The 14435-nt window shown below is 53.7% G+C and overlaps 1 protein-coding gene and 1 long non-coding RNA gene across 4 annotated transcripts in view; one reads left to right on the top strand and one right to left on the bottom strand.

The window, feature by feature from the left end:
- Positions 1–7492, bottom strand: part of PRR5 (proline rich 5) — a 68931-nt gene extending 61439 nt beyond the window's left edge. For both annotated transcript variants that reach the window (NM_001017528.3, NM_001017529.3), the window contains exon 1: positions 7438–7492. The gene's annotated coding sequence lies outside the window, so the exon portion shown is untranslated. The remainder of the gene's footprint in view (positions 1–7437) is intronic.
- On the top strand, positions 7660–14243 carry LOC124905132 (uncharacterized). Of its 2 annotated transcripts, XR_007068127.1 has the most exons (3): positions 7660–7912; positions 8574–8659; positions 11244–14243. It is a non-coding gene; the product is annotated as an uncharacterized LOC124905132 (long non-coding RNA). The 2 variants fall into 2 exon arrangements; XR_007068126.1 differs by lacking the exon at positions 11244–14243 and having other exon boundaries at positions 7807–7912; positions 8574–9801.
- Positions 14244–14435: the final 192 nt, after the last annotated feature.

Raw genomic sequence — 14435 nt, 5'->3', positions numbered from 1 at the left:
ACTCATTTTTTTTGTACTTTTAATAGAGACTGGGTCTTGCTATGTTGCCCAGGTTTGGCTTAAACTCCTGGGCCCAAGTGATCTGCCCGCCTTGACCTCCTAAAGTGCTGGGGTTACTGACATGAGCCACTGCGCCCAGCCTTCTTTTTTGTTTTTGATTTTTCTTTTTCTTTTCACTTTCCCAGGTTCAGTAACTTGCCCATCTGAGCCAGTTTCTACAATGGAGCTAAGGATCCCCGCTCATGGGGGACAAAATGAGATTGTGCCAATCAAGTTCTCCCAGCACCTCGCCCACACAGAGACTCATTCTATTTGGGGGAAACCGAACATCAGGAATCAAATCATAAACATGACTGATCGTGGCTAGGAGTGGGGCACAGGACTGCAGAGAATCTGGCTCCTGTCTGCAAGGATCCACAATTTAATTAGGATATGTGACCTAAGTAATAATAATAATAATAATAATAATAATAATAATAACAACAGCAACAGTAACAACAGCCACCGAGTTTTAAGCCCCACCACATGCCAGACACTTCACATCCCATCTCCTCGTTTACTCCTCCCAGAACCCCTAGGATGTGGGTTGCTTCTTGCTCCCATTTGACAGCAGAGCAGGAAACTGAGATGCAGGGAGGGTGAGAGCCCTGCCTGGGGTCACACAGCTTTCCACGTCATTGTGCATGTGGAGGCCCCACTGAAAGGCGGGCTCCAAGACAAATGACAGAACAGCCATGGGACAGATACTGTGCAGCTGCTGAAAACTCAGCATGACTGCTCACGAGCTCCTGGGCTGCTTAGGGACAGGGAAGATGCTCACGATATTACACCGAGTGAAAAAAGCAGAACAGGCCAGACGTGGTGGCTCATGCCTGTAATCCCAGCACTTTGGGAGGCCAAGGCAGGAGGACAGTTTGAGCCTAGGAGTTCAAAACCAGCCTGGGCAACGTGGCAAAACCCCATTTCTTTCTTTCTTTTTTTTCTTTTTTTTTTGAGACAGCGTCTTGCTCTGTCACCTGGGCTGGAGTGCAGTGACGAGATCTCGGCTCACGGCAACCTCTGCCTCCCGGGTTCACGCCATTCTCCTGCCTCAGCCTCCTGAGTAGCTGGGACTACAGGCGACTGCCACCACGCCCGGCTAATTTTTTTTGTATTTTTAGTAGAGAAGGGGTTTCACCGTGTTAGCCAGGATGGTCTCCATCTCCTGATCTCGTGATCCACCCGCCTCGGCCTCCCAAAGTGCTGGGATTACAGGCGTGAGCCACCGCGCCCAGCCTCTTTCTTTCTTTTTTTTTTTGAGACAGCGTCTTGCTCTGTCACCTGGGCTGGAGTGCAGTGGCGAGATCTCGGCTCACTGCAACCTCTGCCTCCCAGGTTCAAGCAATTCTCCTGCCTCACCCTCCTGAGTAGCTGGGATTACAGGTGTATGCCACCATGCCCGGCTAATTTTTGTATTTTCTAGTAGAGACTAGGTTTCACCATGTTGGCCAGGCTGGTCTTGAACTATTTTTTTTTCTTTTTTTTTAGACGGAGTCTCTCTCTGTCGCCCAGGCTGGAGTGCAGTGGCGGTCTTGGCTCACTGCAACCTCCGCCTCCCGGGTTCACGCCATTCTCCTGCCTCAGCCTCCCTAGTAGCTGGGACTACAGGCGCCTGCCACCACGCCCGGCTAATTTTTGTATTTTTAGTGGAGACGGGGTTTCACCGTGTTAGCCAGGATGGTCTCGATCTCCTGACCTCGTGATCCGCCCGCCTCAGCCTCCCAAAGTGCTGGGATTACAGGCGTGAGCCACCGTACCCGGCCTGGTCTTGAACTCTTGACCTCAGGCGATCCACCCATCTCGGCCTCCCAAAGTGCTGGGGTTACAGGCATGAGCCACCGTGCCTGGCTGCAAAACCTCATTTCCACACACAAAAAATAAAAAATAAAAATAAACCCAAAAAACCAAAAACAAAAAACAAACGAAAACACTGGCAGGGTGTGGTGGTGCGTGCCTGTGGTCCCAGCTACCCGGAATGTGGTGATTGTGCCACTGCACTCCAGCCTGGGCAAAAGAGCAAGGCACTGTCTAAAAAAAAAAAAAGAAAAGAAAACAAGAAAAAAGCAGGATACAGAACCGTAGAGCTGTAGGTGTAGTGCTGCAATGACACTGTGCAACAGGACTTCTACCTCAGAACAAATTGACTGGAAATGAATATGTTTAGGGAGAAAGGCTGCAGGCAGAATCAGAGCCCGTTCTCCAGACTCTGTCCAATATGGCGATGTTGGTTTTATATTTAAAATTTCCCTTAGAAAGAGGATTTGTCCACCCCAAGGCTTTATGAGCAGCTACTGTCTGTCCTCTTTGTTGAGCATTTTACTCCTCTCTCAGCCTCAGGTTTGGCCTGTGGAAGGCATGAAGCAGAACGTGGGCCCACCCTCTCCCAGCCATAGGTAGATCTCCTGGCCCCTCCATCACAGCAAAGCCAAAGCCACGCTCAGGATCTTCTCCCTGTCTTCCCTTTCCACAGGGGGTCTATTTACCAAGGACCATCACCGCCACCTACCCAAGCCCTAGACTATCAGTCATAGGGGCTTAGAGAGTAGTGAGCTCCCCGTTATTGAGAATAATCAAGTAGGGAGCCACACGTCTATCCACCAAGAAGTGGCCACAACGGATGGCTTTCTGTTCGTCTAAATCAGACCCAAATGCCTCACCAGTGGGTGACCTTGGGCAAGATACTGATATCTTTCTATCCTACCCTCCTGGTCTGTACAATGGGATGATGATGGAACAGTGAACGCAGAGGCCCTTCAGAGGGTTAAAAGAGGGCAAGTAGGTAAACTTCTAAGACGCTGTCCAGTGCCTCCCAAGAGCTGCCTATGCATTGGCCATTATTATTTGGCAGCTTTCGCCTACTCACCCCAGGAGCTATGCAGGGCAGAAATCAAAATTCCTGTTTCACAGATTAGAAAACTGAGGCACGGAGAGTAACACCCTCAGACTCAAAGGGGCTGTAAGCAGTGGAACCAGGGCCAGAACTCGGGTCTTCTGGCACTAAGTGGGGGCTATGCCCCCAGGCTAGGTCCTCTCTCCCTTCATGTCTCTGGCCTGGATTCTCTTCTGGGCACTAGGTGGATTGCTTTTGCTGGGGAAACTGCTTTTGCAACCCAGTGAAGGCCTTTAACCAACCCAGCAGATGGCACAGAAAGCACAGCCTTAAGAACCTTCCAGAAAATGAGCAGGACTCATGCTGGGGTCAGAGGAGCCCGCCATGGTGGTTCCTGATGGCAAGGCTCTGTGGCAGTATTTCCTGACCTTCGCGCATGCTGTGTAGTGGGGTGGAGCATGCAGACCCAGGTTTGAGTCCCAGCCGTGCCCCCTTGCTATGGCTCTGGGCAGTCACTTGGTCTCCCTGAGCCTCAGTTTGCCCATCTGTCAATTGGGCAGGGCCACGCCCACCTCGTGGGCTGGCTGGGAGGAGTAGGTGAGACAGTGCCTGGGAAGGTCTATGCACAGGGGCTGGCTGGCAGGACAGGAGCTCAGAGGATGGCAGGCAGCCCCTCCCTTCCAGAGGGTAGCCCACGCTTGGGAGTCAGAACTCAGGACAGCAATGCCCTCTGTGCCGAGACAAATACATGTGTTTTCTTGACATCTTTTATTTTATTTATTTATTTAGAGACGGTGTCTCGCTCTGTCTTGCCCAGGCTGGAGTGCAGGCACGTGATCTCAGCTCACTACAGCCTCTGCCTCCTGGGTTCAAGCAATTCTCCTGTCTCAGCCTCCCGAGTAGCTGGGACTACAGGTGTGTGCCACCACGCCTGGCTAATTTTGTATTTTTAACAGAGATGGGGTTTCACCATGCTGGCCAGCCTGCTCTCGAACTCCTGACCCCAGGTGATCCACCTGCCTCAACCTCCCAAACTGCTGGAATTACAGGGATGAGCCACCGTGCCCGGCCATCTTGACATCTTTTAAACCAGGACTTGGCCCTTCCCCATCCCCACTTGCCCCAGCATGTGGGTATCCGTGTAACACAACAGCAAACTCCATCTCTCTCCCTACTCCTCTGGGGCAGGGGACAGAAGGGCACAGGCATCAGTTGAGGGCTTCCTTGGGCCAGGCCCAGAGTGAGCACTGTATTTATCTCATTTCCTGTACCCTTAGGGCCACCCCAACATTAACATTAATACCAATACCACGGCTGATGCCAAGGCAGGGTTATCACAGGATCACGACACTACAAGACCACAGCACTACAAGACTATGCACCACAAGGCTATGTCACTAGACATCAGTATAGCAAGACCACGTGGCTACAGAATGACATCACTACTTTACACAACTCACAGGGAACAGTCCTAACTGGGATTGTTCAAGCACCTGACATGAAGTTGCTTAACTCTCACAGCAGCCTACAGCCTAGAGTGCGGCAGGAATCACTATTTCATTGATGAAGAAGTGGAGGTAGACAGAGGTTAAGTAACTTGCCAAGACCTCCTGAGAGGTGGGACAGGATTCGAACCCAGGCAGCTGGCTCCAGAACCCACCCCCTCAGTCGCCTAAGCTGTTTATTCCAATCTGCACCTTGCAATGAGAGAACTGAAGCTCAGGGAGCTTAGGCAATTTTCCCAGCTTTAGTCAGGGCAGGTGGCCCTGACTCTGGGATCCCTAACCTTTCCCCTCTCCCTGGCTTCTGAAGGCTCCTCCTGCTGGGCCACCAGAAGCTGAGGGTCTGAGGATCTGCAGCCAAGCCTCTGGGTAGCAGCAGCACCAGGGCTGCTCTCCGAGACGGAGGGTTTCTGAAGTCACCGAGAAATATGCTCACCAGACTTCCAAGCCCCCGTGCCACCACGTGCTCCCCAGCAAGATTCAATTTTAAGACATAAGAAAAAAGAGAGATGTGGTTAAAATAAAAAATGAGGGCTGTCTTGTCACCAAGAAGCCACCTCTTTGTTCAGCTAAACCATGTCTTCATGATGGCCCAAGATTCTGATTCACATTTCTTGCCTCTAATCTAAGAGATGGCTGGTCCTGTTCAGCGCTGGCCCCCTGCGGCCCCCCTCTGGGCTTCAGGATGAGGGTCTTGAAGCAGGATGCCCTGACCCTGCTGTTTGAGCCTGTGGGTGACCCACACTGCCATCTGACCCGGATAGCACCACATTCACACAGCATCAGTAGCCTGTCTGTTTCTGCCTGGGTTTTTCTATCTTGAGGGGCCCTCCTTGCCATCTGTGGGGCCTGGGGAAGGTCTTCATGAATGAGTAAATGAATGAATGAATGAATGACTCCCCTCCTCTATGGGAGTCTCACGAGAGCTCTGTTCTTCTCACACATGTCCCAGAAGACGGTTTTGTTCACATCCACAAATGTCCACAACTTGCGGCACCCAGAGAGGGGCTGGTGTTCCTCTTTCCTTCTCGTCACCCACCCCTCCTGGTGTCTGCGCCCCTGACTTACTGGGCGTGAGCAGGAAAGCTGGCACCACACCACGCTGCCCGCCTCTGCCAGGCAGTTCTGTGTTACCGTCCCCAGGCCTTTTAAGCCATCCCTTAGAAACAAAAAACCCATTAGCTCACAAATGTTTCTGCACAGGCTGCTTTCCCTGCCGGTGAGGAATTAAGTCCATGCAAGTATCCCCATCGCCACCCAGTTAAAACAGCCAAGACACAGAAGTGCCAGCCCTTCTCACGGCCGATCCACCCACACCATGGTGTGCTTGCGACGTGGGGTACCACACTTCTTTGGACCTCCCTGACTGCCCCTGTGGGTGGATGAGTGGGGGTAATATGATGATCGCCAGTTTTCAGGTGAGTAACCCAAGGACCAGAGAAGCAAAGTGACTTGTCCAGGGCCACACAGCCAGCCAGTGCTGGAGCTGGGATCCTGACTCAGGCCTGCCGGACTTCACAGCAATCCCCGCCCCACGATTTAAACAAAGGGCTCAGAATCCCAGACTGTTTGGCAGGAAAGGTCCCTGGGGAGGCCATAACCTCCTCTGACTGCTGGGGGACTTGGGCTCCAAGAGGGGAGCGGCTTGCCCAGGGACACAGCAAAGTTGTAGACGCCAGGATGGGCCCTTCTTGGTCCTCTTCGCTGTCCGCCAGCCGGAGGAAGGTAGATGACTTTGTCCCCCTCATCCGATGTTAACACCAAGCGGTGCTCACACCTGAATGTGCATTAGAATGACGATGGGGGACTTACAAAATGCAGATTCCTGGTGCCCCCTTACCAGCTCAGGACAGGGACCAGGAATTGACATTTTATCAAGCACTGTCATCAAGGAGGATGATCTGGGGGTCCAGGACCTCACTTGGAGAGCCCCAGCTTACCCCCAGGATTCTGGAGGCTGCGCCGAGTGCAGAAGGCCGGAGGGGCCACAGGGAGGCGCCCTCCCGCCTCCAGATCCAGTCCAGGGAATGGGACTCACCACTCTCCCACCAAGAGCATCACTCATCACCTTGCAGCTAGGCCACCCCACACGGTCCTCATGGCCTCTGTCCACAGATGTCACTCCCACCCATGCCACTGGTAGGGAAGTGGAGGCCGCTTGGAGGAAGTGACCCAGTCGCTGGGACCACATCTTGTGACCTTTGGACATGGGACCCTCCCCCAGCCTTCTACCTTGGCTCTGGTGGAAAAAATCTTAGAAAGCGTCAGGCTCTGCTTATGGGAACAGGGTCTAGAAATCCATCTGATTAGGTCAGAGGCGCAGACCCGTGGCCAGGCAGACCTGCCCAGTATCCCCACCTGCCAAGGGATGGTGAGGGTGTCTCCCCAGGTTCTGACCTTACAGACCACTAAGCGCTCCAGCCCTGGAGTCTCTGTCCCGGGGTCTGCCTGCTGCCTCCACCTGCCCCCACCCACTCTGCAGGGCCAGCTACCAGCCAGGAAGTGGCTGGAGGCCCAGGCCAGAGGCCAGAGCGGTGGGGGCCACAGGCTGAGCCAGGACAGGGCTCAGAAAGGAAGGGTCCCCCATCCTCGACCATCTTTGTTTGCCCTATTAGGGGGAGCAATGGCGAGGGAGGGGAGAGCTGCCATGGGGAGAGAGCGGTGTCGGGGAAGGAGATGGGGACACGGGGCGGCTGGACGGAGACCCACCCACAGAGACGCGGACAAACTCAGAGATAGAGGGAAGGGGGCGGGGCGGGGGGCGAGCGAGAGAGGCTGGGAGAGAACGAGCTCGGGAGGTCCCGGGAGGCTGGGGTGGGAGAGGCTGGACCTTCACCCAAGGGGGCCGCCCCTGCCCCGCAGATTCCGTCCGACCCCTACCCCACCCTAGGGCCCCGCAGTCGGCGTCGCGCGCGCGCGCACCTACGCGCGCACACACACGCGCGCGCCGCTCCGCCGGCACCGCCCCGGGGCCCCCCCTTCCGCAGGGTCGCGCGTGCCGCCCCCCAACCCCAGCCACCCGGTCCCCTCTCCGGCCGGGCCTCCGGACCCGTAGCCGCCGCTCACCTCGGTCCCCGCGCCGCCGCCGCCGCTGCCACCGCGCAGAGCCAGAGCCGGAGCCGGAGCCGGAGCCCGGGGCCGGGGGAGGGGGCCGCGGAGGCCCCGCCCCGCCCCGCTCCGCCGCGTCCCGCCCCTCGGGCCCGCGCGGGGGCGCCCGCAGCCGCCGCAGCCCCCAGGGACTCGGGGCGCTGCAGGGGAGACTCGCCTAAGTGCGGCAAGCGGGTCCGCGGGCACGCCCACCCGGGTCCGCCGGAGCTGGGGGGCTGGCGCTTGGGCCCCCTCCCGGCCTCCGCCCCTGAGCACTGCGCAGGCTGTGGGCGGCGCCCGCCGGGGCAGGGGGCGTCCCGGGTCACCCGGCGGCCCGGATCGGCCCGTGACGCCCTCACCCCACCCCTCGGCGGGCCGCAAACGTCCAGAGAGCGCCCCCTCCCCAAGCCCCGACCTGAGCGGGGCGCTAGAAGCCGGGAGGACAAATCAGACGGTCAGACTCAGTCCCTGTCCCGGGGATCGGGGTCCAGCCGCGGGCGGAGCGGGGAGGGAGGGGAAGACGAATGGGCCTGGCACCAAAAACAGCCCAGGGCTGTGGTTCTCAAAGTGTGGCCTCCGTTAGTGCAGAGTCCCTGGCCCCACCCCGGACCTACAGAAGCAAAACTCGGGGTTGGGCCCCCTATTTTAACAAGCCTTCTGGGTGGTTCCAGAGTTCAGTAAAGTTTGAGAAGAACTGCCCTGGTGGAAACATCCAGCACCCCACATCCTGCACCCCACAACCCACATCCCACACCCCAGTGTCTCGAAAAGGGCTTCTTTTCACTCTTCACTTAAACAGCCTCACCCTGTTTAAGTACCTCTCCGTTGGTACGTGGCTGTGGTGGGGGCAGTGGGCGGGGAGCAGTGGTGTCTGTCCCAGGAATCCCCGAAAGGATTGACAGTCAGTGCCTGGTAGAAGCCGCAAGTCCTGTACCAGAGGCCAGGCTGTGGGCATTCGGGCGGTGATGGTTATGGTTATTGTGTTTTGGTGTAGTGATTGTTTTAATGTTTTAGAATGCAATTGTGCAAATATTTGTGTCCATATTCAGTTGTAAAGCTTTTTTTTTCCCCTTCCATCATTGTGCTTGTTTGACGCTAAGCCACTCATCCCCCAGAAACAGTGTTGACATGAGGCAGATCAGATGGCCGGCCTTCCTGGTGACCAGATTTCAGGACAGCAAGCATCCCGGCCAGACCCCAGGTACTCTAATGGGGTCCATAGGGCCCTGGGAGTGAGCAGCTCTGCCTGAACTGCAGGATGGGGCATCCTAGAGGGAGGAGAGGGCATCTGGACAGAGGGGCCTAAAGTGTCTGGGTGGCATCTAGACTGGGCAGACAGTGCCTGGATCGAGTACTGGGGTGGGGCTGGAAACGGCCCAAGAGGTGCCAGAAGGAGGTGGAGCTGTTCTGAGCCCCGTGCTGCCAAGAGGGATGTCCTGGCCTTGGAGGGACCTTTGAGGTCATCTAATCCAGCCTCTTGGTGTGTGACCACTAGGACCTCCCCCACTTCTAATTAAACTTTCCTTCTTTCTTTCTTTTTTTTTTTTCTTGAGACCGAGTCTCGCTCTGTTACCCAGGCTGGAGTGCAGTGGTGCCATCTTGGCTCATTGCAACCTCTGCCTCCTGATTTCGAGTGGTTCTCCTGCTTCAGCCTCCTGAGTAGCTGGGGCTACAGGTGCCTGCCACCATGCCCGACTAATTTTTGTATTTTTAGTAGAGACAGGGTTTCACTATGTTGGCCAGGCTGGTCTCAAACTCCTGACCTCAGGTGATCCACCCGCCTGGGCCTCCCAAAATCCTGGGATTACAGGTGTGAGGCAGCACGCCCAGCCTAAACTTTCTTATTTTGAGATAATTGTAGATTCACATGCAGCTATAAGAAACAGTAGAGATGTCTTGGACCCAGTTTTCTCCACTGGTAAAATCTTGCAAAATTATACTACAATATCACAACCAGGATATTGACATAGATGCCATCAAGGTACAGAACATTCCATCAGCAAAGGACCCCCCCGTGGACTTTTTATGTGCTTATCTCCCTCCCTCCTCCCTCCTGGCAAGCACTTATCTGTTCTCCATTTCTGTAATTTTATCATTTCAAGCATGTTATATAAATGCAGTCATACAGTATGTTACCTTTTGAGATTGCTTTTTTCACTCAGCATAAATCCCTGAAGATTCTTCCAGGTTGCTTTGTGTTTCAGTAGTTTGTTCCTTGCTATTGTGGAGTGGTCAGCATTCCATGGAATGGGTGCATCATAATTTGTTTAGCCATTCACTTGTCGAAGACTATCTGGGTTGATTGCCAGTTTGGGGCTATTACCAATAAAGCTGCTATAAACATTTGTGTACAGGTTTTTGTGTGAACATAAGTTTTCATTTGTCTGGGAAGAGTGCCCAGGAGTGTAATTGCTGGGTCGTATGGGAGTTGCATGTTTAGATTTTTAAGAAACTGCCAAAATGTTTTCCAGAGTGTACCACTTTGCCTTCCCAGCAGCAAAGCTTGAGTGATCCAGTTTCTCTGCATCCCTACCAGCATTTCGTCTTGTCCCTGTGTTTTATTTTTGCCATGCTGATAGGTGTGTAGTGAGATCTCATGGTTTTAATTTGCCTTCCTCTAACGACTATTGATGTTAAAGATTCAAAACGATCTTGAGAGCTTATTTACCATCTGTAAATCCTATGAGTGGTAGGTGTGTTCATGTCTTTTGCCTATTTTCTAATTGGATTTTTTTTTTAAAAAATGTTCATTAAATTTCTTTCTCTCTCTCTCTCTCTCTCTCTCTCTCTCTCTCTCCCTCTCTCTCTTTTTTTTTTTTTTTTTGATGGAGTTTCACTCTTGTTGCCCAACCTGGAGTGCAGTGGCACAATCTTGGCTCACTGCAACCTCTGCCTCCTGGGTTCAAGCGATTCTCCTGCCTCAGCCTCCCGAGCAGCTGGGATTACAGGCGCGCGCCACCACATCTGGCTAATTTTTTGTATTTTTAGTGGAGACAGGGTTTCACTATGTTAGCTAGGCTGGTCTTGAACTCCTGACCTCAGGTGATCCTCCCACCTCGGCCTCCCAAAATGTTGGGATTGCAGGCGTGAGCCACGGCGCCCGGCTGGTTATTTCTTTATGGTGTAGTTTATTCAGAAATTCATGAATTCCCTGAGAGAGAGGAGAGTTGTCTCTTTTCTTCCCCAAAGTATCTCTGGGTGTTTGGAAACAGTCTTTGGCACGTATTAGAAGGTGGCTAATAGGTATTTGTTGAAAGAATCAGTGAGTAAATGAATACATGACCCCATGGTGCGTGGTTCTGGCCACGTCATTTGTGGCGCCCCCTGCTCCCCAGATCCATTCACTGCCTACTTTGTGCTCCCTGAGGCTGACCTGGGTGGACGGCATCCCCCACCTGGTTACATTTGACCCATGGAGGCAGTTGCTGGAGATCAGCCGGAGAGAATGAGGCATTTCTCCTCTTGCCCTCTGCTGACCCTTGCAGTCCCTGCGGGTTGCATGCTGACCACAGCTCTTTCCCGGATGCTCTGCCAGGCTTTAGCTCCACTGGCTTCCGGGGGAAGCACCATTTCCTTCCCTCCCTTCTGCAGCCCCAGGGCTGGTAGCAGCTTCCCTCTTTTGCTGGCCTCTGGCTCTCCCTAACCTGCCCACGCCTCTGTGAACATGAACCACCTGGTCAGCTCTGCCTTCTGCTGGGACCCTGACTGTAACAGATAGATATCATTATTATTATTATTATTATTATTATTATTATTATTGAGATGGAGTCTCGCTCTGTCACCAGGCTGGAGTGCAATAGCGTGATCTCGGCTCACTGCAACGACTGCCTCCTGAGTTCAAGGGGTTCTCCTGCCTCAGCCTCCCGAGTAGCTGGGACTACAGGTGTGCACCACCACGCCCAACTAATTTTTGTATTTTTAGTAGAGACGGGTTTTACCATGTTGGCCAGGATGGTCTTGATCTGTTGAACTCGTGATCCGCCCGCCTCAGCCTCCCAAAGTGCTGGGATTACAGATGTGAGCCACCGTGCCCAGCCAACAGATAGATATTATTGTTGCCACTCTACAGAATTGGAAACTGAGGCTCAGAGAGGTTATACATCATGCCCAGGACCACACAGCAAGTCCTGACAGAGCCAGGGTTGAGCCCAGGCTCCCTGGCTTGGAGCCCATGCTGCTGGCTTTCAGAGGGTTTTGAGCTCTTCTCCTCTGAGGGGCCCAGGACTGGGGTCAACATGAAGGTGCCTCAGGTGACCCAGAAGGCAGCTGAGACCTGGACCCCCTCAAAGGCACGCGGGTGCCTGTCATAGCTCTGGCAGTGACCACGAGCCCATTGGCCTCTTCCTCCCTGTGAGAGCTGAGCATGTCTCTGGGGCCTGGCAGGAAACCCAGCCTGTGTGTGTTTCTGCTGCTCAGTCACGTGAGACTGTGGGAAGCTGCTGGGAGGCTCAAGTGAGGCCCCTGCCCCAGCCACAGTGGCGGCCTGACCTCACATTTCCTTCGCTTCTTCTCTGAGTGAGCAGATGTGGCCAGCACCCACCACGTGCCAGGACCGTCCTGACACCCTGAGGGCGAGGGGGGCACCGTGGCAATGTATCGGAGGGAGAGGGCACAGGCTCTGCAGCTTGAATACTAAGGCTGAGTCCCTTCTTGAGGGACCCCAGGCTCCTTGCTCCTGCAATGGGGACCATTGCACTTGCTAATTTCACATGTTTATCCTTTCATTTATTTGCCTATCCATTGGTGGATGGAGCCGTTAAAACATAGTTAATGAGCCTTTGTTTATAGCCTGCAGCTAAGAAAAGAGCTCTGTGAATCTAAAGCCCTGTATGAAATGTAGTTCTCTGATGGGGGCGTCTGGGTACCTCCCACCACTGCCCCTGTGTAGCCTAGGCCAAGAGGGCCTTTGGTGCCATTGAAGGACTGAGTGAAAACCTGACTTGTCTGAGGGCTCTGTGCACTGGGGGGCACCCCTGGACCCTACCCTGTCCCCTGTCACCATAGTCAGGGAGACAGGCCCGACAGTGCACAGTGACTAACCCAGGGCCACACCATGTGTTAGGCAGAATAATGGCCCTCTCCTCAAAGAATTCCATGTCCTGATCCCTGTAGCCTGTGAATTTGTGGCCTCACGCACTCCTTATGGCGAGAGGAACTTTGCAGATGTGAATCAGGGTCTTGAGATAGGGAGAAGGTGCTGCATTCTCCCAGGGGGCCTGACATCATCACAAGGGTCCTTATAAGAGGTGGGCAGGAGGGTCAGAGTGAGAAAAGGGCGAAATGACAATGGGAACAGAGAGAGATTGGAAGATGCCACCTCTGTGGCTTTGAAGCTGCAGGAAATGGCCACAAGCCAAGGAATGCAGGTGCCTCTGGAAGCCAGAAGGGCAATGAGTGACCAGATTCTCTCCTAGAGCCCCTGAAGGAGCACAGCCCCACCCACACCACAGCCTCCAGAACTGTAAGAGAAGAAATTTATGGGTTTCTTTTCTTTTCTTTTTTTTCTTTCTTTTCTTTCTTTTTTTTTTTTTTTTTTTTTTTTTTGAGATGGAGTCTTGCTGTGTTGCCCAGGCTGGAGTGCAATAGTGTGATCTCAGCTCACTGCAACCTCTGCCTCCCAGGTTCAAGCAATTCTCCTGCCTCAGCCTCCTGAGTAGCTGGGATTACCACGCCCAGCTAATTTTTGTATTTTTAGTAGAAATGGGGTTTCCCTATGTTGGCCAGGCTGGTCTCAAACTCCTGACCTCAAGTGATCCACCCGCCTCGGCCTCCCAAAGTACTGGGATTACAGGTGTGAGCCACCATGCCTGGCCAAAATTTGTGTTGTTTTAAGCCTCTAAGTTTGTGGCTATTTGTTAGAGCGGCCACCAGAAACCAGGATACCCGGCAAGGCTGTGACTGGAGCCTGGGACTTCTGCCACCCAGCCTCTCTGCCCGGGATGGGACCCCTGTTCCACGGCCTTCCATCCAGAGCTCCCGGGCTGTGAGATTGCCTGGGTGCTTCGAGATTATTTTTCCTTCCATAGAGTGCTTAAAATGTTACAAAGAATATTATCTGTATAAAAGAACTTGAATAATGTGGAAAAAGCTCACCCAAGCTCACCAGCGTCGCCAGCACTCACTGGCAGAACTGGAACCTGGAAGCCCCTATGGGCTCCTCCCCAGGCAAACACTGCTCCATCCTCCTGGAGGTGCTTACCCACCTGAAGCATGTGCTTTACAGTTTTACACACATTTGTGCCCACAGGGCACCTTTCATGGGACACTCGTGCCAGCCAGGGGTGTGTAAGGAAGATGGAGACTCTGTCCCAAACAGGGCTGCAGCGTCTCCTGAGAGAGGTGAAAATGACCTCAGAAGCCAGTTTCTGATGACAGGCCGGACAGGGAAGCAGCTCTCAGCCTCTGCCTGGGGCTCCTGGAACACCTGCTACCTCGACTCTCAGGCCTCACCCCTGCCACCCTGACCACCCCGCCCCCTGCAGCTGCTGAAGGGCCCTTCCTCTTGACTTGCAGATCTGACTGTGATTGAAAGGTAGTGTCTGTGCAGGAAGGGGACCATCACACACCGGGGCCTGTTGTGGGGTGGGGTGAGGGGGAGGGTTAGCATTAGGAGATATACCTAATGTTAATTGCAGCACACCAACATGGCACATGTATACATATGTAACAAACCTGCACGTTGTGCACATGTACCCTAAAACTTAAAGTATAATAAAAAAAAAGAAAGGTAGTGTCTGTGTAGCATTTTGTGATTTGAAGGGGAAATAAAGTTTTCTGAATAATAACGACATGACCTTTGTGTGTATTTTCCCCATCGTGTGCTCTGCTTTTCTTTTGCGTTTTAGCTTCTCAGACATGACCTTTGGTCTCAGATGCTCAGCTTGGTGGCAGCACTTCACATGCAGGGGTGAAGGGAGGTCCTCAGCCCTGGCCACGCAGGGGTGAATTCCAGAGCATAACAAGCAGGAGCAGCTGTT

This window comes from Homo sapiens, chromosome 22 (genome assembly GCF_000001405.40).
Source record: "Homo sapiens chromosome 22, GRCh38.p14 Primary Assembly".
Classification (NCBI taxonomy): Eukaryota; Metazoa; Chordata; class Mammalia; order Primates; family Hominidae; genus Homo; species Homo sapiens.
The sequence above is the reverse complement of the archived record's forward strand: the minus strand, read 5'-3'. Positions and strand labels throughout refer to the sequence as shown.